The following is a 22128-nucleotide window of genomic DNA, read 5'->3' as shown; positions in this document are numbered from 1 at the left end:
ACACTGAAAAACACACAAAGACAGATACACAGACACTGAAAGACACAGACACAGAGAACACAGAAACACACCAACACACACTCACTCAAAGACAGACAAACACAGACACACAGAACACTCAGAGACACACAGAATATTCAGACACACACAAAGATACACACTCAAAGACAGACACACAAAGACAGACACAGAACACACGCCAAGACACGCAGAGACACAAAGATACACAAAGAGACACACAGACACATACACAGACACACACAGAACACACACAGAGACTAACAGACACACTCAAAGACACACACGTAGACACGTGCATCGTCACAGACATAGACACACATACAGATGAACAGCCTTGCCTGTAGCCCCGAAGGTTGGCATCTGGGAAGCAGGACCCTCTCTGTGCAGCGACAGCTCTGCTAGGAGCCTGGGGGTGGGGGTCAGCAGCTCAGTGACAAGGTTGGTGCTTCTGTGGTGTTCCCATGCTGTGTCAGTCCTGGCCTTGGGCTGACACCTCATTGCCCGCCAGCTCCCTGTGGCTGCGGGGGCTGCAGAGATCATTCACCAGGGCTCATCTTTGGGCCGAGTCCATTCACGCCACTGTGGCCATTTCCCTCCCCTAGACCCACCAGGCTTCTGGCTGGGAAGAGAGGAAGAGGCGGACCACCTCTTTGGGACTGACCGGACAGAGCTGTGGGGACCGTGGGTTCTTCTTGGGATGGAAGAAGGAGTCATCCTTCAAGAACAGAGACAGAATAGCATGACCTGCAGAAGAGGGAGGGGGCAGGACTCTGCAGGCTGGGGAGGCCCTGGTCCCCCAAGCTGCTCATGGGTAGGGCTCAGGGTGGGAGGGAGTTGAGTTGGTGGCTTCCTGTGCAACTAAGAGAGGCCAGAGGTGAGGCTGCCCAAGGCTGTGTGTGGGCTGTTCTCCACGCCATTGGTATTTCCATCTCCAGGACTGCTGGGGCAGTCGCTAAGACCCCCTGAGCCCACTCTGTTCTTTCTGTTTTCTCATGGATACAGTGTTAGGCTTACTATGCCAGCGTGGGCCATGGTCTCTTTTCTTCTAGAGAGTCCCAGGGACTTCCTTTGTGGCATATGCTTCCTCTCGGCCACCTCAGAAGGCTCTGTTAGGAATGGTTCAGTCATTGCAGACATTGCCATGTCACCTGAGGGGTCTCCAGCTCCCCTGGGGTCCAGGTGGCATGAGGGGCCCTTTTGGAGAGGGCTGGCTACTGGTGGGGTGGGGGGGCGTGGTGGGCGGGAGTTGGTGGTTGTGGTGGAGTACAGGGAGATAGCCTGTGGGGGGGTGTGGCATTTTGTTCCAGTTAAAGATATTGCAAAAGATACGTGGTTGTGCTGTTGCAAAAAAAAGTTTAGTATTTCTGTCCTCCCTGAATGAAAGACATTTAGCCTTGCATATCAAAGAATAGGAATCTGTCATCTTAGAAGTTACTAATTTGCAGTTCTGTGACACAGATTTGCGTAATTAGAGGATTTGATCGCCAGGCATGTGAAACCTATACAAATGTTGGTCCATGTTCTTGGAAAGAAGTCAAACTTTGAGGCTGTTTGAGCGAGTCATGATTCTTTAAAGTTGCCACAAGCTGAATTGATTTAGTTTGGCAGAAACTACAAAAACAAACACGGAGTTTAGAAAAAGCAAAGGCTCATGTGATCACCGCTCTGGCCCCAGAGAAAAGGAAATGCTTCGTAAGTTGCATTGCGGACCAGAGCGTGTTGAGGCTCCCTTTCCCCCACCTGATAATTTTCAGATCGTCTGGAACAGCTATAAACAAAAGCTGGAGACGCTAAAACAGCCCATAGCCCCTTCCCCTCCCTCTCCTCCCTCTTTCCCCTCCTCCTCCCTCCCCTTAACAACTAGCTGGGCCTTTGTTTTCTTTTTGCTTTTACTCCCTAAGTAAATCTTAATCACTGTCGTTAAACCCAGCCTTGACTTTCTTTCCGTTCCCATGGATACCAGATGGGGCCTCATATTGGCGAGGTGGCCATAGGACTGCAGGACCCAGGAGGCCCCGACGGGTGCCTGGCAGGCGAAGGGGGTGCTGCTCCTGGCGCTGGTGGCCGGGTAGGATGATCCTGAGCATCAGTGCCTGGCCCAGTACAGCTTGAGAGACCCCCTTCACTCCCCGGAGGAGACGTGCACAGGTGGCCAAGCTGGAGGAGCCTGCAAGTTGCAGGGGTCAGATGTAGCAGGTGGCAGCCATCAGGATCTGTCCAAGCCGAACCCCTTCCCTGGTGCCTTGAGGTAGAGACCATCTCTGTCTTGCAGGTCACTGTCTCTATCTTGCACGGCCACCTGCAGTGGTCCTATAGCTGCATTGGTCTGGGATTTACCAGGAGCCCTGGACCCCACGAAGGTCTCCTGCCTTCCTTGGTGGAGGCACGCCAGGGTCCTGGCATGAACTCAGGGTGGGGACAGTCCAGTTCTGCCCCTCCCTGCTGGGTCCCGGCCTTCCTTCTCGACTCTATTTCAGTAAAGTCAGGTTGGCTGAGAGAAATGCCAAGCCAACCGCCTCACCAGCACTGAGCCCCTGGGGTTGTGTTTGAAACGGCAGATGTCAGCTCTGCCCTCTGCCTGCTCAGAGGCCCCGAGTGAAGCTTCTGGAAGGCAGGCAGAGCCACAGCCCATGGGTCTCCCCACAGGCAGTCTATATCTCTCCTTCTGAGATGTTCAAAGTGATTTAGAAGTACAGATGGTCAGTTAAAGACACCTCTTCAAATGCTTTGTCACATTTTTAGGAGATTTAAGATCATGTCAACTTAAGGTAGGGCAGCTTTGCTGTGGGATGGTTATCTTTCTCTCCAAGTGTCTTGTCTCTGTGAAGTGGGGCTGAAAACCAATGGTGAGTGGTAAATGCTGGTCTCTTCCCCCTTCTCCCATACCCTCACTCCTTTATCTCATGTTTAAATCCTCCATGGACTGACATGTCATATCTCTGGAAATATGTAGAACCAGGCAATTCTAGAGTGTGTGTGTTGGGGGGGTGGGGGGGTGGTAAACAAGGACCCACTGAAGGAGGGGATCGCGGATGCCAGGGAGGGCCCTGCATACCACAGCGGGGAGCTGTGGGGTGGTGTGGGAGCCTTGGCAGGTGGGCAGGAAGCCTGGCGGGGGGAGGTGGCTTCTGCAAGGAGATCAGGTCCAGGCTGGGGGACAGAGCTGGCATTCGGGGCAAGGCCGAGGAAGCACAAGTGTCCACGTCTCAAGACAAGAAAGAGCGTGGGTGATCTGAGACCAGCCAGAGGGGAAAGGGGGCTACTCTTGTGGGAGGTGAGGCTGCCCAAAGAGCCTGGGCAGGTCCTCGGCTGGGGTTGGTGAAGATTTGGAGCTTAGTTGAGGTAGGTGGAAACGCCTTGGAGGGTTTCAGCAAGGAGGAGATGTGATCTGATTGATCTCTTGAAGGGTCTCCTGTGGCTGTGAACATTTGGGTAATGTGGTAGAGCATGGAGGTGGGGCCAGGCCACAGCAGTGAGCCCGAGCAAGGTTGCTGGTGGCTACCGTGAGGGCAGGCCCAGGGAGAAAGACAGGGGACACTGGCTCCGAGACCTGTATTGGGATAGAACTGATGACCGATGGACCGGCTTGAGGAATCCAGGGAAGAGGGAGCCAGATGGCATCGGGTGTTTGCCTTGAGCCACTGGGTAGAAGGTGAGGCTGCTTACCGTTTATGGAGAAGGGTTTTCTGAGAGAGGAGATGCACAGGCTTTGGGGGTGACCGTGAGCAGGTAGAGAGTGGCCAGTAGGGTCCCATGGGGCAGGCCGAGTTTGTGCCGTGAGAGCCAGTCTCAGGGCAACCCCTTCCACGGGCGCTGATGGTTTTGTGTTGCTGTTGGGTTTTTGAGACATGCCTATCTCCATACATCTGTGTTGCCTAGGGATGTGATGATATCCTTCCGATCAACTGAGAAGGGCCTTGGGACCGTACCCTGCATTGCAGGGTGGTTTGGCATCCTGTGAAATGGTTTTCCTTTGCAGGGAATTTATCCAAAGACCATGGGTTTCAGAGGCTGACGGTCACAGTGCCATCACACTGTTCGTCAAGAATACCTCTCGATAGCCAGCAGGTAATTTCTGAGTTAAGAACAGTATTTACACTGTTTATTTGAGGATTAGTGAAAATCCTGTAACTCACTATATGCCTGTCAAAGGCAAGAGGAGCTTGATTGAATGCCTCAGTCTGGTTGTATTCATTCTACGTGTGAACATTTAATGTTCTCTTTTAAGCACCTTTTTTTTTGACCCATGTATTGTAATTGCCTTTAAAGTTTATTTTTCAAACCATGTGACAACTTTTATTATGAATGAAAATGCCTGTGGTTTCTTTGCTCCTGAGAGGAAGCTATACCGCTCTGTAATAACTGATCATAAGAGAAAAATCATTTTATACACACCATGAATCTGTAACATGGCATGTTGGAAACCATAGATCATTTTAAAATGTAATGCATATCATTTATTATGGAAAAAGGTATTTTTTAATGTTACTGGATTTCCTTCTTGAAACATAATCTATATAACCATGAACTTTTTCTTAAACCCATTCAGTAAGCAGGACTCCTCAATTCCCTACAAGAATTAAATTACTTGTATTACCTGGTTCTGCCTTATAGCTGTTAATATTTTTCTGTGTCCTGTTTTCTGAACAGGCAGTGAGAGGGCACACCTCTGAGTCATTGCTGGGGACAATCACTTGCAGGTGCTTCGAGGCATTGTCACCGACTGTGTCAGCCCTTGTGGGGTGAGGAGGGGGCCCAGAGTGCTTCTCTAAGCCCGTGGAAACCAGCCGGGCCTGGGTTTCAGCTGGGTTGTCTTTGTTTTGTGTTTTACGTTCCACGGCCCATGGGCCCATCGTCCAGCCATGCCGGAGGTGTGTGTTACTTCATGGCCACACTGGCTCCCTTCCTGGGAGTTTTCCTTCTTCACAGCATCACCCAGATCCTTGAAAGGCAGAACCCTGTCATTTTTATCTTACAGAGAAGAAATTAGGAGCACATGGTGGTAATGCCCTACCATTTGACTTAATGAGGGAGCCTGTAAACGTGGGGGATCTCAGGTTAACTTTTTGTCTTTAATTTGTGGATTTCTTCCAAAGAGTGGTATGTAACAGCTGGTCTGCTTTAATGGTATCGCTTATAGTGATGTTATTTTTGTGTTCAGAAGTCATGGCTTGTCAGCGGCTGGCAGTCATGGAGGGGGCCAGATTCTAGGATGATGCTGTCATGCCAGGGCCCTCCGGAGCCTGTCTCACCTGAATGATGGATGGCCGCTCTTCTCCCTGGAGTGTGCGTGGGGTAAGGGGAGGCTAGAGTGCGTGGCCTCTGACGAACGGACAGGAGTGGTTTCTGTTCTCTGGGGAAGTGACAGAGCCAGGCTGTTGCCTTCTAGAGGCAGAGGGATGCCTTCCACGATCAAAAATAGATCAAGGTTTCTTTCACTTTGATTTTTTTCCTCAAACATTCTCCTTTCTTCTTCCTTCTTTTATTCTTATGTTCAGAGGCAGGGTGTCCCTCTGTTACCCAGGCTGGAGTGCAGAGGTATGATCTCTGCTCACTGCAACCTCGACCTCCCAGCCTCAAGCGATCCTCTTGCCTTAGCCTCCTAAGTAACTGGGACTACAGGTGTGTGCCACCATACCCGGCTGGAACATTTTTCTTCTTGACAGAGCATCTTATTTTGCAATATCTTCTCCTTTAGGAGGGAAAATGCAGTACAGCTCAGGATTATACTTCAGTGCCACCATGTCCCATAGGCCCTCAGCTCTCATTCTTGCTGCCCCCTTTAAGTTTTCTGAGTGAGTTTTGCTCATTTCCAGTGTCCAAGGGCCTTCTGAACTCTGGCATGGGGAAGCCTCATTTTTCCCAGGCGGTAAACACGCTCTCTGAGGACTTAGAGTTTAGGATGGAGTGTTTTGGTGAAGGGAGTCAGAAAGGGCTCTCAGAGAGGTTTCTAGAGGGGGCCCTGAATTCATATGGAGTGGCAAAGCGCAGCTGAGGAAATGGGACACGCTGGAATCTTCCAGAAGCTGCTCTGGGTTCAAGGCGGGGCCCATTGGGTTTCTGGGGTTGGGTGTTTTCTGACATTGCGTTGCAGTTTGGTTCCTCAAGGATCCACAGTGTAGGCCTAGTTTCAGTTTTCACAAAGCCCCTTTCTTGACTCCCACTTTGCCCTCGCCAGTTTCTGTGGCTCCTTCCACCCAGTGGGCCCTGAGTGCTGTTCCACAGACGGCAAACCCATCCTGACCCAGACGCGCCAGCCCCAAACAATCTGGTTACTGTTTAAACAACCAGTGTAAATAATGAGCCCTCCATTACCAAGAGTATAAATACATTTAGACAAGTCAGAGTTTTGTAGAGTGAAAGTTTAGGTTATGGGAAAACATCAACAGCTGTAATTTGTAGGCCTTTGTAGAGCGAGGGGTGTGAGTGATGTCAACTGTAGAAGGTCGACATTTCGTTTATGTGTTTTTTTGTCATTGTGCCAGGAGGAGATCTTTGTTATATTTCCTTTGCTGAGAATTAATCTTGAGGGGGCAGCACCTGCCAGAATTTTTATTTTTTTTTTCTAAAAGTAAATGTCACCTAGGTGGCCAGTGTTGATGGGCACCCTGGCAGGGCTGTTGTGGGCAATGATGATGAACTTTGTATGGAGGATTGCATTTGGTTAGCCTCTCCTAGTATTGAAAAAATAATTAAGGGCAAACCACAGAGGCATATGATTGAGGTGAATTCTACGGTAAGGAGACAGATGTACATGTGAAAAAGAACCACAAACATTGGCTCCAGGTAGAGAGCCTAATGCTATGGCTTTCAGAGCATAATAAATTGAGCTCTGTAAGTCAACACAGTCTTTGGCTGGGTCTCTCTTTGGTGAAGGGGTAGAATGAAGCCTCCCTCTTTTTATTTTTTGGCCAAAGTGGGAATTATCTGAAGACCTGTAAAATTAACTATTTTTCTTTACAAGGAGAAAGGGACAAGGCAGAAAGTCCCACGGGTGTGAGGGATTACTGGGTTTCTCTCCACCAATAGCACAGTTCACACACACCCAGCTCCAATCCAAGGCCTATTTCAGTGGGCCCCAGTGTGTGCGACAGGCCACACACACGTGTGTGTGGGGGGGGTGGGGCGGGGAGGACAGGCCACACACACGTGTGTGCCTGACCCTCAGAGGTGCTGATCCCGCCTTATGTTGGAAATAACATTCAGTGTTGGTTTTCACAGTCACCATCAATCCGTGGATTAGCTTCTGAGGCCTCCCCTGACATCCCCCCTCCCCACATGCCCGGCCCCCGCGCAGGAGCCTGAGGATGTATTTGTTTTAAGATTACCTACTTGGGAAAAATAGAAGGATCGGGTAATCTCAACGACCTGTTTGCTAAATCCGCCCGTTTTCTTCTGCATCTCTACTTCCAAGAGATGTGATGTAGGGATTTCACACAAACACACACAAGGAGCCGAAGGGATTGTGTAGATTTCAGCAGAGACGAGGAGTCAAGTGAATGGAACACCGAGACCAAGTTTGTCCAGCCTGTGGGCCACTTGTGGCCAAGGATAGCTTTGAATGTGGCCCAACACAAATTCTTACACTTTCTTAAAACAGTATAAGATTTTTTTTTTTTTTTTGCATTTTTTTAAGCTCATCAGCTGTCATTAGTGTTAGTGTATTTTATGTGTGGCCCAAGACAATTCTTCTTCCAGTGTGGCCCAAGGAAGCCAAAAGATTGGATATCCCTGACTAAGACCAAACCAGAGTAAAAAGGAGGCAGGCACTTGGAGTGTGTGGGGAGCTCCCCTGGGAGCAAGGCCCCATTTTAAAGTGTGCCGGGATCTGTTTTAACCAGGAATAGAAAGACACACAGATACGGAAATGGCTTGTGTCACAAACCCTAGAAGAGGAGGCTTGCTGTGAGGGACCACTCTGAGATCAGCAGGAGGCTGAGGGAGTGCAGGGAAACAGGGCAGGCATGTCAGCATGTTCCAGGTGTGGGGCTGCCCCTGGCTGTCGGATCCCCGGCCCTGGGTGTCTGTGGCCAGGAAATGGTGGCCCAGGGTGAGAGCTGCATGAGGAGGTAGTTGGGTGGCTTCCGTGTGGTTGGTTTGCCTATGAAGGCCCACTAGCAGGTGATGAGTGCTTCCCTCTAGGAATTGGCCAGCCCTTCTAGCAATTGAGAGGGGCCATATCTCTAGGATCAGCAAGGCCCCAGATGTCAAAATATCCAGAAATACAGCAAATATAAAGGCATGATTAACACAGCCCCTTCCTCAGAGAGACCCTCCCCCTCACTGGAGAAGCGCTGGGGCGGACCTGGGGCAGTGGCCAGCTTTCCACACGGGCCGAATGAGCACCCCCGGCCACACAAAAGGATGTCCCCATGTGGGCCCTGCGCTCCCCCGTGGTTCCCGTGCAGTCTGGGCCTGGGTTCCCCTGGAGGGACAGCTTTTCCCACCTTTGCCTGTCACTACTGCACGGAGGGCTGGCAGAGGCCCTGACAGCTTTTCCCCCACCAGCGCCGCTGTCCCGGCCTAGGGGAGGTGTGGGAAGGAAAGATTCGTATGGGCATTTGCTTCCTGTCCCCCAGCTGCCAGAGCCAGTGTCCCTTTTCCTCCTAGCCAGCCTCCTCAGGCCGAAGAGAGGGGGAATTCCCATGAGTTTGCCACTTGCTCTGTTGATGAGAAACTGCATCTTATAGTTTCTGCTGAGAAAAAGAACCACGTGACGTGTGACACCAGAATCGATACCACTTGTCCTTGTACCTTCCTATGCCAGGTGGGGCTTAGGTCCTAGCCTCTGTGCAGCATGAGAGTGCCGATGTCTCCCCTCTGGGTCTGTCTTCCTCACAGCGAAGTGGGGTCCTAATTAGGGCCGCATTCCCTGTGTGTGACCCGCAAACGTAGACTCCACTGGGATGCAGAGGCCAGCGTCGTCCCTCCTGTTCCGGCCACACCTGGTGACACAGACCGCAGGGCTCCCGGTGCTGCCTGCGGTTGTCCTTGTGGCAGCCTTTATTGCTGAGCATGCAGCCTCTGCCGAGAGTGACCGGACAGGCGTCCTGTGTGAATGCCCTGTCTGAGGTGGAATTTACTGAGGTGTTGCTGCCGCTAACGGTAAAGAACACAAGGGCCTGGGCCGGGCCCTGCTTGCAGCTGAAGTGCAGAGCAGAGGGTCCCAGCTGGGTTGGCATGTTTAGGCACTGTCTGCGGAAGTAGATGATCGTGTCTTACAAGGAGGTAAAGCCCGGGAGAACATCTGTTCAAGCAGAAGGCAAAACCGCACCCGTCAATCCCGCAGGTGCTTCGGGCCTGAAACTCGCCTCTGGGAAGGCATTTGCTGATGGCTTCTCATGTTTGCCACGTGAACTCTCTCACCTGAGTGCTTGAGAACATGTCTGGCTTGCTGCATACACTAGATAGTGTAGCTGTTCAAACTCTTCCCAAAGACGCCAGCCCAGTACCGATGCCAAGCCCTGGTGAACTTCAGGAAACCATAGACCCCATTCTGATTCTGTCGCCACCGTAGCCTCGGGCATGGTGGGAAATGTCTCAGCCCAGGGTTGCTGGTGCTGGCTCCGCCGACATGGGGGCTGGAGGCCCTGTGCCTGCTGTCTTGCCCTGGGGCATCTGAAGGGCGGGACTGGGGGTCATGTGTGGCGTGGCCGATTTAGTCGCTGAGCAGCCTGTGTGGGGTCTCACTTGCTCCTCGGTGCATTGCAAGATCAGCTTTACCAAGTTGCCACAAATGACGTGTGAGAGAGGCACTCGTTTCAATTCCAGCTGCCCTTGGACACTGGACACTGTTGCTGAGTCAAGATGTGCGGAGGGCAGTTTGTGGTGATGCCCTTCCCATTCCCAGCAAGGTTAGCAGTGACCCTTGAAGGTGGCAGTGGAGCCGGGAGCCTCACCAGCCTGGTCTGTGGGCATGTGGGCTCTGAACATGCAGTGGTGAGGACGCCCACGGCGCCTGCCCACTCTTGCTGCCGGCTGTACCCCAGACGCCTCAAGCCAAGATGTTGCTGCATGTCTGTGAATTGCTAAAAATGAGTCACACTGGCGAGTGCCGCTGGCCACTGAGCAGGATTTGGCTTTGGCCCTGGACCTGCCCGGTTGGTGCTAACTGCGTGGGCTGCACTGCTGCACCCCCAGCTCTCTGTGGGGCTGAGGGGTCAGTGGCTTATTAAGAGCTGTGCGGAGAGAACTGTGAAGCAGAATTGTTGCTTTTGCCCTAACAGTGGCTGTGAAAATGAATGTGGCCATTTGCAAAGAAGCTGAAATAACAGAAGGCAGAGAAAAGCTGTGTGCCTGGTGCCCACTGTTCCTGGTGGGTTCACAATGGCAGAGGGTTGGGGTCAGCTGAAAAGGAGTCTCAACTGTGTACTGACTCAGGAGCAAAATGTTAGACTTCACACTGACACTCCCATTGAGCAAATTATCTGCATGTATCCTTTTGGTTTTTCCAGGGAATATTGGCATAAAAGAACACCTGGTGGGGAGAGATGGAAGGGAGGAGTGACATTGTAGACTATTTGGGGACCCCTGAAGGAAGTCAGCTACAGGGATGTGCAACATGGAGGCAAGAGGATTTGATTTAATATTCTTAGGGGAGAGGAAACCTTTCATCCCCTAGGGCATGTCCATTTCCAAATGACAGCCCAAAACAGTTTAATACTTCACACTTTTTTTTTTTTGAGATGGAGTCTCACTCTGTTGCCCAGGCTGGAGTGCAGTGGCGCGATCTCAGCTCACTGCAAGCTCCGCCTCCCGGGTTCATGCCATTCTCCTGCCTCAGCCTCCTGAGTAGCTGGGACTACAGGCACGTGCCACCACGCCCGGCTAATTTTTTATATTTTTAGTATATATTTTTTATATTTTTAGTAAAAAAAAATATGTATATTTTTTATATTTTTAGTTTCACCGTGTTAGCCAGGATGGTCTCGATCTCCTGACCTCGTGATCCGCCCTCCTCGGCCTCCGAAAGTGCTGGGATTACAGACGTGAGCCACCGTGCCCAGCCTACTTCACACATTTTACCTTACTTACAATGCATGATAATTTATGATTTTTTTTTGAGATGGAGTCTTGCTCTGTCACCAGGCTGGAGTGCAGTGGCACGATCTCGGCTCACTGCAAGCTCCACCTTCCGGGTTCAAGTGATTCTCCTGCCTCAGCCTCCCCAGTAGCTGGGTGGCATGTGCCACCACACCCAGCTAATTTTGTATTTTTAGTACAGACGGGCTTTCACCATGTTGGCCAGGATGGTCTTGATCTCCTGACCTCTTCCGCCCGCCTCGGCCTCCCAAAATGCTAGGATTGCAGGTGTCAGCCACCTCGCCTGGCCAATTTATGAAGATTTTAATTGAGGAGAGGCTTACTGATTGGAATGCCACCTTATGTTTCTCACATCAACCACATTCAAAGTGCATATTTAGTGATTCTCAGGTTTCAGTTCCTTTAAAATGGGCAAAAACTCTTAAGACACTTGGAAAATGCAGGATCCTAATAGATTTTCACCCCCTCACTTCAGTGTTTTACTGTCATCATATGCACAAGTAGCTGTTTTAAGCAACCCACTTTTTTTTTTCCTAAAGCATTCCGCTTAGTGTTTATAGAAATAATTTTCTTCTTGTTAGCTGTCAGGTGACGTCACATTTTGCAATAGGTACCTAAACAACATAATTATAGTAACAAATACAACTGGTATAGACAGGCTTGCGACCGAGCTAGCCCTGGGTGAGCACAAGTCTTAGCTGGTGCAAGAGGCATTCATCCATCAGCACCTTTCACAGAAGAAATGGACAGTGTCATCTGTCAGATCAGCTTGGAGAGGGTCGCCGTGTCATAGTGTACAGTGATCTCACTGACTTCCCCAACAGGCCTGTTCTGGAAAAACTCTCAAGTATTTTTCCTCTGCTCTCACACCACAGCAACAATCACCAACATAGACGAAGACTTCTGTGACCAAATGTGGAGATTTTTGTGCACATACAAGCAGTGGACGCCAGCTGGGTGTCCTCCAGTCCACTTTAGACACTGTCTACCTGGAGGTAGCGTCTGATCCCCCCTCATTGAGGATTCAGTTCTGCAAGACTGCCTCTTCTTCCCACCAGTTGCAAGTCTAGGTCTCCAGAACTTCCAACTGACCTACTGGCTTCAGGTTGGGGTTTTCACAGCTCTCTCTTTGAGTTTGTTTAATTTGCTGGAGTGTCTCACAGAACTTGGGGAAAACACACTTACTGGTTTATTTGAAGGGTATTACAAAGGATCCAGATGAACAGCCAGGTGAAGGGATACACAGGGCGAGGTCTGGAAGGGTCCCCAGTGTAGGAGCTTCTGTTCCTGTGGAGTTGGGGTGCCCCACCCTCCCAGCACGTGGATGAGTTCTTCACCTTCCTGTTGGCCTCCACGTGTTCATCTCTCAGGAAGCTCTCCAAACCCTGTCTTTTGGGCCTTTCATGGAGGCTTCATTGGTTGTCCAGGCTGCAGCGTGGACAACCATGTCAAAATGTGATTGGATAAAAAGGATATGATCTAACTCCAGCAAGGACCGTCTGTTCAAATTCTTCCTGGCCTCTCTATGTAGCCTTCCTTCTCTACATAGCCTTCCAGGGTAGGGGGCAGGACCCCTTCTGGAATGAGAGTTTTATGACCCTAAGTCTGATTAAGTCCTGCTTTGGGCAGGTGAAAGGAGGGCAGGAGAAGGTCAGAGATTCTGTTTCCCAAGTCTGCTTCTGAAGCCTAAAGCACCCCAACATTATAACAAAAAATTATGAGCAAGGAGCTGTGGACAAAACTCAATATGATCGGCCAGGCGCGATGGCTTATGCCTGTAATCCCAGCACTTTGGGTGGCCGAGGCGGGCGGATCACAAGGTCAGGAGATCGAGACCATCCTGGCTAACACGGTGAAACCCCGTCTCTACTAAAAATACAAAAAATTAGCCGGGTGTGGTGGTGGGTGCCTGTAGTCCCAGCTACTTGGGAGGCTGAGGCAGGAGAATGGCGTGAACCCGGGAGGCAGAGCTTGTAGTAAGCTGAGATCGTGCCACTGCACTCCAGCCTGGGCGACAGAGCGAGACTCTGTCACAAACAAACAAACAAACAAAACTAATATGATCATAATATCACAAGGTCCAAAATAGAACTTGCTGTTTTCCTCTCTCCAAACCACTGTTGCCCCCTGCCATGGTCTGAATGTTTGTGTCTCCGTAAAATGCCTATATTGAAATCCTCACCCCCAAGGTGATGGTATTAGGAGGTGTAGGGACCTTGGGAGATGATGAGATCAGGAGGGTGGAACCCTCATACGTGAGATTAGCACCCTTAACAAAGAGGCCTCAGAGAGACCCCTTTCTCCTTCTGCCATGTGAGGACACAGCCAGGAGGTACTGTCTATGAACCAAGAAGTGGACCCTCATCAGACATGAATTCACCAGTGCCTTGATGTTGGGCTTTCCAGCCTCCAGCACTGAAAACGGATCTCTGTTGCCTATAAGCTGCCTGGTCTATGGTATGCTGTTAGAGTGGCTCAGGTGCACTGAGAGAACCCCCTGTCCCTATTTCTGCTAATAAGCCATGCTGGGTCCTTTCTTCAGCCCTCCACACCCGAACAGTCACACAAAGCAGCCGGTTCTACCTTGAAAAGGCACATTGTATGCAGTTGTACTTTTTCATCATCAAATTAAAATCAGGCTTGTTGAATTGCACTGAATCCTCAAGTGCCCCTCAACTGCCCGAATATACTTACTGAGGCTTTGGACTTCTCTGGAGTGGTGATAGTTTGTGCGATTCCATCAGTTTTGTCCCTGTGAGGATGTCATCTGGGCATAGTCTGTACCTGCACCCTCATGGGGAGGGCAGTGTTGGTGAAGGAATGCAATCTCGCTGGACATTTTTGAGTGGAATTTCATCTTCCCATCTTTCTTCTTTCTGTATTCACCCCTCGGCGTTGGGTTGAAAGGTGTGCATATGTGTGTGTGTGGGTGTGTGTACGTATGTTCATACTTGTGTGTGAGCATGTGCATGGGTGTGTACATGTACTTCTGCTGCCATCCTATGAAGACATGCCCAGGCCACGCTGGCATTTCTTCCTCTGCCACTCCTTAGGTTGGTGAGTGTGATTTAGATTTCCAGCTTTCATGTGGAGAGTGTGTGCCTCTCCGGCTAGGGGGAGCAGCCTGTTTAGGCTTCCTGCTCTAGCTGAGAAGTAGAGACTTATTCAGGAACAGGAGAAGAGAAGGAGGGAAGCTGAAACTAATGGAAGGAGAGGGGCTGATAGGAGAACTTGGAATCCCAGGAGCAGCCGCTGACTGCCATGAGGCTGTGTCTTGGGGTCCTCACCTGTGTACCTGGGCCCCAGGCTGGGAGAAGGAATGCTGGATGATGGTCTCTCAAATCTGTTCTCCCCTGCCCCTAACTCCGTGTCTTGGAGTGGATGGACAGAACTGCATGGCCATGTGACTGTCCCAGGCCGAGCAAAGGTGTCCAGAGGCCTGCAGGTGGTGCTGGCACCAGAGGCTTCTGCATGACCTTATGTGCAGTGGTCACTGAGGCAGACAGGGCTTCTGAGGGGCCTCACCCTCAGGGAACTCGAGGATAGTCATGTGGCTTTGGAAGGCCAGAAGCCATTTAATTGGGTGTCATCATTAAATACTACTTTCGTCCTACCATGTGAAGTACTTTGAATAAATGCTTTTTTCTGTGAGAAAGGAGGGCTAAGGGTACATACCTTATTCCTATGAAGCATTTTGGTTTTAGCTTTTAAATCACAAAGGAAAGAAAAAGGAATTTCCTAGGGGGTGGGTGTGCAGTCATAGAGAGGGCTAGATAGTAGAATGAAGCGTTTGAATGATCTAGCTAACTTAAGTAAAAATAACTCAGTCAACTGACAGAGGAGCCTGACAGCCCGTTCTCATTCATGCTTCTCATCTCAGAGTGCAGTTCTGTGACCACCCCCCCACTCTGAATCCATTGCTGTAGTTTCATCTCTAAAGATTGGCCCTAGTTGGTGAATTGGGAATTTAGGAATTAGCCCTGGGCAGGAGCCGGCAGGAGCCCAAGGCAGCTGCACAGTGAAGGCATGCCTGGAACTGAAGTACAGGCCGCATGACGCTCTGCCACCCTGGCTAAAGCGTGGCCCATGTGAGCCGCCTTTCTCTCTCCTCAGGAGATGAGCATGCAGTCTCCAAGGACGGCCGCAGGGGTGCTAAGCCCTTGACACTTGGAGGCTCCCTGGCCTGGCAGTTCCATGAGGCTGGAGTTTAATAAGAGGCTGTCGAGCAAAGGTCCCCCAAGGGTGGCTTTGTGGCCTTGGCAGCTGTGGGGCTGGCACACGCACTGCTACAATAGCTTCTGGGAATTAGGGCTGTGTTAATTGCCTCAACGTTTCAAATCAGAGGGTTGCTGGAACACAGGAGAGAGAGAGGCAAAGGTGGTGGTAAACTCTTCCCTCCTGCCAGTTCCTGAGCCTGCCATTCCTGCTGCTAGCCTTGATAGTGGCAATGCTTGCAATGGGACCCTGACGGAGCCGTGTGGCAGGCCTGGCTCTGTGCTGAGCAGCTTTGAAGGGTGGATGATACCATGATGGTTCCTATTTTCAGATGAGTAGACTCAGCCACAAGCCACTCTCCTAATGTCAAAAGGTCAGAAATGAGTGTGTTTCTGGTGATTTTAGGGTCATAGCAAATTAATAACGAAATCTCAAATCTTTTCATCCAGAGAAGAGATCATCCCAGAAAATATGTGGTGTGTCCTCAAAGTCAACTCCCTAATAAGGTGTTTTATGCCATGGAGTTGCACATTCAGCAGAGATTGTAAGGTCTACCATGAAGCAGGACTTGCACAGTCAAAGCAATTCTTGAAAATGACTGAAGGTCCCTGGAAAGTATAAGCTGTCGGTTTTATGCACAAGGCCACATGCTGTCATGAGGGAGGCACATCTGTGTGTACGCCCACGTAGGGCTGTGGGCCCCCCAAGGACCCATACGCAAGGCCACATGCAGTCATGAAGGGAAACACATCCGTGTATGTCCATGCCTGGCTGTGGTTCCACCCAGGGCATGCTTCTCTTCTTGGAATGTTCTATGTGGGTTTTTTTGTTGTTGTCTCCTTCTGTGAAATTCTCATAGTTTGCATGGTTTTTAAAAAATTGTGTTAAAAAATACATAACAGAAAATTTAGCATCTTAACCATTTCTGAGTGTACAGTTCTGATACATTCACGTTGTTGTGTGACCAGTCTCCAAAACTGTTTTCATCCTGCATAGCAGAAACATTAAACAACTCCCTGTCCCCTCCTCCAGCCTCTGGCAGCCTCCATTCTGTTTTCTGTTTCTGTGGATTTGATTGCTCTGGATATTTCACAGAAGTGATTCACATAGCCTTTGTCGTTTTGTGGCTGGCATATTTAGCATAATGTCCTCAAGGTTCATCCCTGATGTAGCAAATGACAGAATTTTCTTTCTTTTCAAGGCTGAATCATATTCTGTTGTGGAATATACCACATTTGTTTATCTCTTCATCCGACCTGAGGGCACTTGGGTTGCCTCCCCGTCTTTGTAATTTTTTTCTGTACCATTTTCTACAGAGGCTGCACCATTTTGCACCCCCACCAGCAGTGCACAGGGTTCCAGTTTCTCCACCTCCTCACCAAAACTTGTTATTTTCTGTTTTTACGGCTGCCTTAGTGGGTGTGAGCTGATAACCTGTTGTCGTGGTTGTGATTTGCGTTTCCTTAACGGCTAACGATGTTGAGCATCTTTCGGTGTGCTCGGTGGCCATATACATGTCTTCTTTGGAGAAATGTCTGCTGAAGTTTGTTGCCCATTTTGTGGTTGGTTTGTTCTTGTGTGGCCCCTGAATGCCTTTCGCCTTCCTCTTGGAGTCATAGTGTGGTGGTTCCTCCACTTCCACAGTGATTGGGAGACCAGGAAAACCTCTCACGTTCTTTCCACCTTGGCTTTCTGCGCACCTCGTGCCACTGCAGGCTGGATTCAGTCCGTTTCCCTTGGGCAGAAGGGGAGGCATTGCTGGTGCTGTTGAAACTGGAGTTTTGTAAGCCTTGCCCTCTCTCTCCCCAGCTCTCTCCATTTCCTTCTCTTTGCCAAGCCCTGTGGTTGAAGTTGCCTGTGTTTAAATGGTGTTTACAGAAACTGCTGCCCAGAGACAATGCTGCCCTTATGTCTTTTGGGTGTAAGCAGTGATGCCTCTGGAAGTCGCTCCTTTTCCCTGCAGTTGAGACTGGGCAGGGGTCTCAAACCCAAATGCCTCCAAGTTCTGCTGGGTGATACAAAAGGACAGGTTGGGCCAAGTGAGCCAAATTGGCCAGGCGCGGTGGCTCACGCCTGTAATCTCAGCACTTTGAGAGGCCGAGGCAGGCGGATCATGAGGTCAGCAGATCGAGACCATCCTGGCTAACATGGTGAAACCCCATCTCTACTAAAAATACAAAAAAAAGTTAGCCGGGCCTGGTGGCGGGCGCCTGTAGTCCCAGCTACCTGGAAGACTGAGGCAGGAGAATGGCGTGAACCTGGGAGGCAGAGCTTGCAGTAAGTGGAGATCACGCCACTGCACTCCAGCCTGGGCAACAGAGCGAGACTCCATCTCCAAAAAAAAAAAAAAAAAAAAAAACACCTTCCAAATTAAGAAAAGGTTTGTTTATGATGGGCTTCGTCAAGCAAATGGCTTGGGCTCGGCTGTCAGTCCTAAGCCCAGTCACGCAAACCTGCAAGGATGCACTGGGGCATGGCCCCATCTGCCCAGACGCTGAGAACCTGCTGTGCGCGATGGTCCCCAAACATTTCAGTCCAGGTCCTTTACCCTGCCTTGCCAAGCTCATGCTTTGGCATGAGCCCGCCCGTTCATGTTCAGCATATCCAGTCAAGGAACCCTTTTCAGAGGTCAAAGCTGCTGGAAAATCCTTTGACTCCTTAGCGTCCTCCTGTGGGGTCTGTCTGTGTTGAGTGAACTTGTGGAATATAGCAGTTTCTAGTGTAGGGAGGTAGAATTCCTCCTCTCCCCTCCTGGGGATTCCGGCATGAGATAGATGGACAAGGAGAAAAGCATGCAGGCCAGGAGCTGTGGCTCACGCCGGTAATCCTAGCACTTTGGGAGGCCAAGGGGGGTGATCACGAGGTCAAGAGATCAAGACCATCGTGGCCAACATGGCGAAATCCCGTCTCTACAAAAAATACAAAAATTAGCTGGGTGTGGTGGCGGGCGCCTGTAGTCCCAGCTGTTCGGTAGGCTGAGGCAGGAGAATTGCTTGAACCCGTGAGGTGGAGGTGGCAGTGAGCTGAGATTGCGCCACTGCACTCCAGCCTGATGACAGAGTGAGACTCCATCTCAAAAATAAAATAAAATAAAAAAGCGTGCAAATTTTATTTAGTAAGCTTTTCATGGACACGAGAGCCTTCACATGAAGAATGAAGACTCAAAGCAACATTTGGAGCTGAACGCTTCTATCCCAGATTGAACAAAGAGCAGTAAACTATGGAAACATGGCAAGACAGAGGGGTTTGGGCTAGGGTGGTTAATTATGGAGAAGTGTCCAATTAAACTCCTCCATGCTTTGAATTCTTTACATATGAAAATGATGGTGGGAGCAAAAATGTAAGTGGGGGTGGGAGGGGGTGAGATTCTGTTCCCTCTGTAGGTTTCATGCATGCCCATAGGTAGCAGAGTTCCCAGGGGCCCTTCCTGGCTGCATTGGTCTCATATCCTCATTTCTGCAAAACTTTCCCCTCCAAGAGGAGAGTGTTCCAGGCCTTTTCTCCTCATCCACTTTTTACATGGTGTCAGACTTGGCATCTGTTTTGGTAAATATTTTAAATAGGGCTGAAGCCCATGAAGGGCTCCTTGCTGTCTGCAAGCCAGTGTGTGTTTGCACAAATAACGAGTCTCTTTGGAAGCGTGGCTGTGAACTTTACTGTGGCCTCGTAACTACACGTGAAGCCCGCTGGGAATGGCTTGGGAGGACAACAGCAGTGCGTGGGCGTGATGCCCACGTGCTGTGCTCTGGTCCCTCGCCCCTTCCTGTTTTCCATCTTGATCAGGAAGCTGATCTGCCTCGATGGCCTCAGTTTTGTGTTAACATTTTTAATACAGTAAGCTCAGTAACTCAAATTAGAGACCACAGAGAAAGAGGGGCCACAAAGAAATTGCTCCTTTCCTTGAGGCCACGTGTGTCCTCAAGGAGTTGACGTTTCTGGACATCTCAGGTCTCTCTCCAGTCAGCAACTGTCATGTTCCCATCGTTGGCTAAGAGAGGTGCTGGCCAACAGTGCTTTGCAGTACACCACAGATGACAGAAATATCTGCACTGGTATTATTCTCTCTCTCTCTTTTTTTTTTTTTGAGACGGAGTCTTGCTCTTGTCACCCAGGCTAGAGGGCAGTGGTGCGATTTCGGCTCATTGCAACCTCCGCCTCCCGGGTTCAAGCGATTCTCCTGCCTCAGCCTCCTGAGTAGCTGGGATTATAGGCGTGTGCCACCGCCCCCGGCTAATTTTTGTACTTTTAGTAGAGACAGGGTTTCACCATGTTGGCCGGACTGGTCTCGAACTCCTGACCTCAGGTGATCCACCCACTTCAGCCTCCCAAAGTGCTGGGATTACAGGCATGAGCCACTGCACCGGGCCAGTGATGTTATTCTCTAAGAGGCTGATGAGTTATGAATGAACAAATGTCCAAAAGTCACAAAAAAGGAAAGTAAGGCCTGAACGGCTTGTGCTGCCCCATGTGTCTCCCTTCACTCCTCAGCTGTGGCCTTGCTGTTTGGTGGACCCTGGCCACGCACACCTGGGGCTAGAGCTGGGTGCCACTGTGTGGGGGTTCCTTGAGAAGGGAGCCATGGCCCCTGCTGAGGGGTACAGTGGGCCAGGAGCATTGCTGGCATCAGGGATTTTTCCCAAATGAGTGGTGAGAGGTGGAAAAATTAGAAAAGGGGAGAGATGGAGAAAAACAACTGGCATTTATGGACTTGTGTGTCAGGAATGTGAGACACAGTTCAGTAAGCTGGAGAGAGCTTTCCTTGTCCCTACTTGGTATTTAAGGAGATGGAGGCAGAGAAGCTGTGTTTCCTGCCTTGGCTCAGGGCTGGTAGGTGGCAGAGGCAGGCTCTGCATGGCCCCCATCTGGCCAGAACCTCCTAAGGGCTCCGTTTCTGAGTGCACATGGGGAGAGGGTGCAGCACAGAGTTGATGGCTGGACTCCGTTATAGCTGCATTTTATTTCAACTCTAAGGCTGGCCACCTCCGTGCTGAGAGCCCGCAGGGAGAATGTAAGGTGGGCTGGAGGGGAATGCGTGCCCCCGTCTCGGCACTGTCCACACTTGGGACGGTCATACTCCATGCTGGGCTGTCCTGTGTGTTGGGGGGAGTGAGCAGCGTCCCTGGATTCCACTCATGAGAGGCCAAGGGGCACCTCCCAAGTCTGATCATCAAAAATGTCTTCGGCTTTGGCAGTGTCCCCTGGGGCAGTGTCATTGAAAACCACTGGAGTAGAGGAAAGATACCTTCCAGAGGGTGGGGAGAGAACTGCAACAGAAAAGGAAACCACTCCATCACAACTTGGCTCCACCACACACAGGTGGATTCAGAACAAGAAAAGGAACAATGCCAAATCAGAGTGACAGGGCGCGAGGGGCATGTGTGAGACAGAGTGGGTGGGGAATGGATCTCTCTTCAGCTTGGTGTTTCTGTGTGGAAATTCTTAATCGCAAGTCTCCAAGAGGTTGCTCTTTCTCTGTGAAGGCACTTGCAGGTGCACAGGGTCAGAGCGTCTCTGCTGCGTGGTGTATCTCTCCCGCCTGCTTCTCCAATCCCAAGGGTCACCCACTTCACAGATACAGAACTGAGTCACAATAGAAAGCACAGGATTTCCTCCACACTGTGTTCTGGCAAAACGAAAGTAGACAAAAGTAGAGCACAGAGCTGGAGGATGAGAGGGGGCATCTCACACTGAAAAATTCATGGACAAGATAGCAGGGCCCAGGGTGTCAGCCCCGCCCACAGAGCCCAGGGTGTCAGCCCCACCCACAGAGCCCAGGGTGTCAGCTCGCCCACAGAGCCCAGGGTGTCATTCCCCACCCACAGAGCCCAGGGTGTCAGCTCCACTCACTAGCCCAGGGCGTCAGCTGCACCCACAGATCCCAGGGTGTCATTCCCCACCCACAGAGCCCAGGGTGTCAGCCCCACCCACAGATCCCAGGGTGTCATTCCCCACCTACAGAGCCCAGGGTGTCAGCCCCGCCCACAGAGCCCAGGGTGTCAGCCCCACCCACAGAGCCCAGGGTGTCAGCCCCGCCCACTAGCCCAGGGTGTCATTCCCCACCCACAGAGCCCAGGGTGTCAGCTCCACTCACTAGCCCAGGGCGTCAGCCGCACCCACAGATCCCAGGGTGTCATTCCCCACCCACAGAGCCTAGGGTGTCAGCCCCGCCCACAGAATGCAGGGTGTCAGCCCCACCCACAGAGCCCAGGGTGTCATTCCCCACTAACAGACCCCATGGTGTCAACTCCACCCACTAGCCCAGGGTGTCAGCCTCGCCCACAGAGCCCAGTGTGTCATTCCCCACCCACAGAGCCCAGGGTGTCAGCCCCACCCACAGAGCCCAGGGTGTCAGCCCTATCCACAGATCCCAGGGTGTCAGCCCCACCCACAGAGCCCAGGGTGTCAGCCCCACCCACAGATCCCAGGGTGTCATTCCCCACCCACAGAGCCCAGGGTGTCAGCCCTGCCCACAGAATGCAGGGTGTCAGCCCCACCCACAGAGCCCAGGGTGTCATTCCCCACTAACAGACCCCATGGTGTCAACTCTACCCACTAGCCCAGGGTGTCAGCCTCTCCCACAAAGCCCAGTGTGTCATTCCCCACCCACAGAGCCCAGGGTGTCAGCCCCACCCACAGAGCCCAGGGTGTCAGCCCTATCCACAGATCCCAGGGTGTCAGCCCCGCCCACAGAGCCCAGGGTGTCAGCCCCACCCACAGAGCCCAGGGTGTCAGCCCTATCCACAGATCCCAGGGTGTCAGCCCCACCCACAGAGCCCAGGGTGTCAGCCCCACCCACAGATCCCAGGGTGTCATTCCCCACCCACAGAGCCTAGGGTGTCAGCCCCGCCC

The 22128-nt window shown here is 51.2% G+C and overlaps 1 protein-coding gene across 9 annotated transcripts in view, besides 1 other annotated feature; it reads left to right on the top strand.

Annotated features, from left to right (window-relative positions):
- ROR2 (receptor tyrosine kinase like orphan receptor 2) overlaps window positions 1-22128 on the top strand; it is a 227628-nt gene that overhangs the window by 130523 nt on the left and 74977 nt on the right. The window contains exon 1 of one of the 9 annotated variants that reach the window (XM_006717121.4): window positions 1351-2269. The exons of the other annotated variants lie outside the window; for them this stretch is intronic. The gene's annotated coding sequence lies outside the window, so the exon portion shown is untranslated. Of the gene's footprint in view, window positions 1-1350; window positions 2270-22128 lie in introns of those variants that run through there. 9 annotated transcript variants of the gene reach the window in all.
- Window positions 19519-20019: an enhancer, noted in NCBI's record as "H3K4me1 hESC enhancer chr9:94561969-94562469 (GRCh37/hg19 assembly coordinates)". NCBI's record gives its function as "activates a minimal SCP1, AML or CMV promoter by ChIP-STARR-seq in primed H9 embryonic stem cells {active_cell/tissue: H9 hESC(primed)}" and the evidence as "EXISTENCE:reporter gene assay evidence [ECO:0000049][PMID:30033119]".

This window comes from Homo sapiens, chromosome 9 (genome assembly GCF_000001405.40).
Source record: "Homo sapiens chromosome 9, GRCh38.p14 Primary Assembly".
Taxonomy (NCBI): domain Eukaryota; kingdom Metazoa; phylum Chordata; class Mammalia; order Primates; family Hominidae; genus Homo; species Homo sapiens.
The sequence above is the reverse complement of the archived record's forward strand: the minus strand, read 5'-3'. Positions and strand labels throughout refer to the sequence as shown.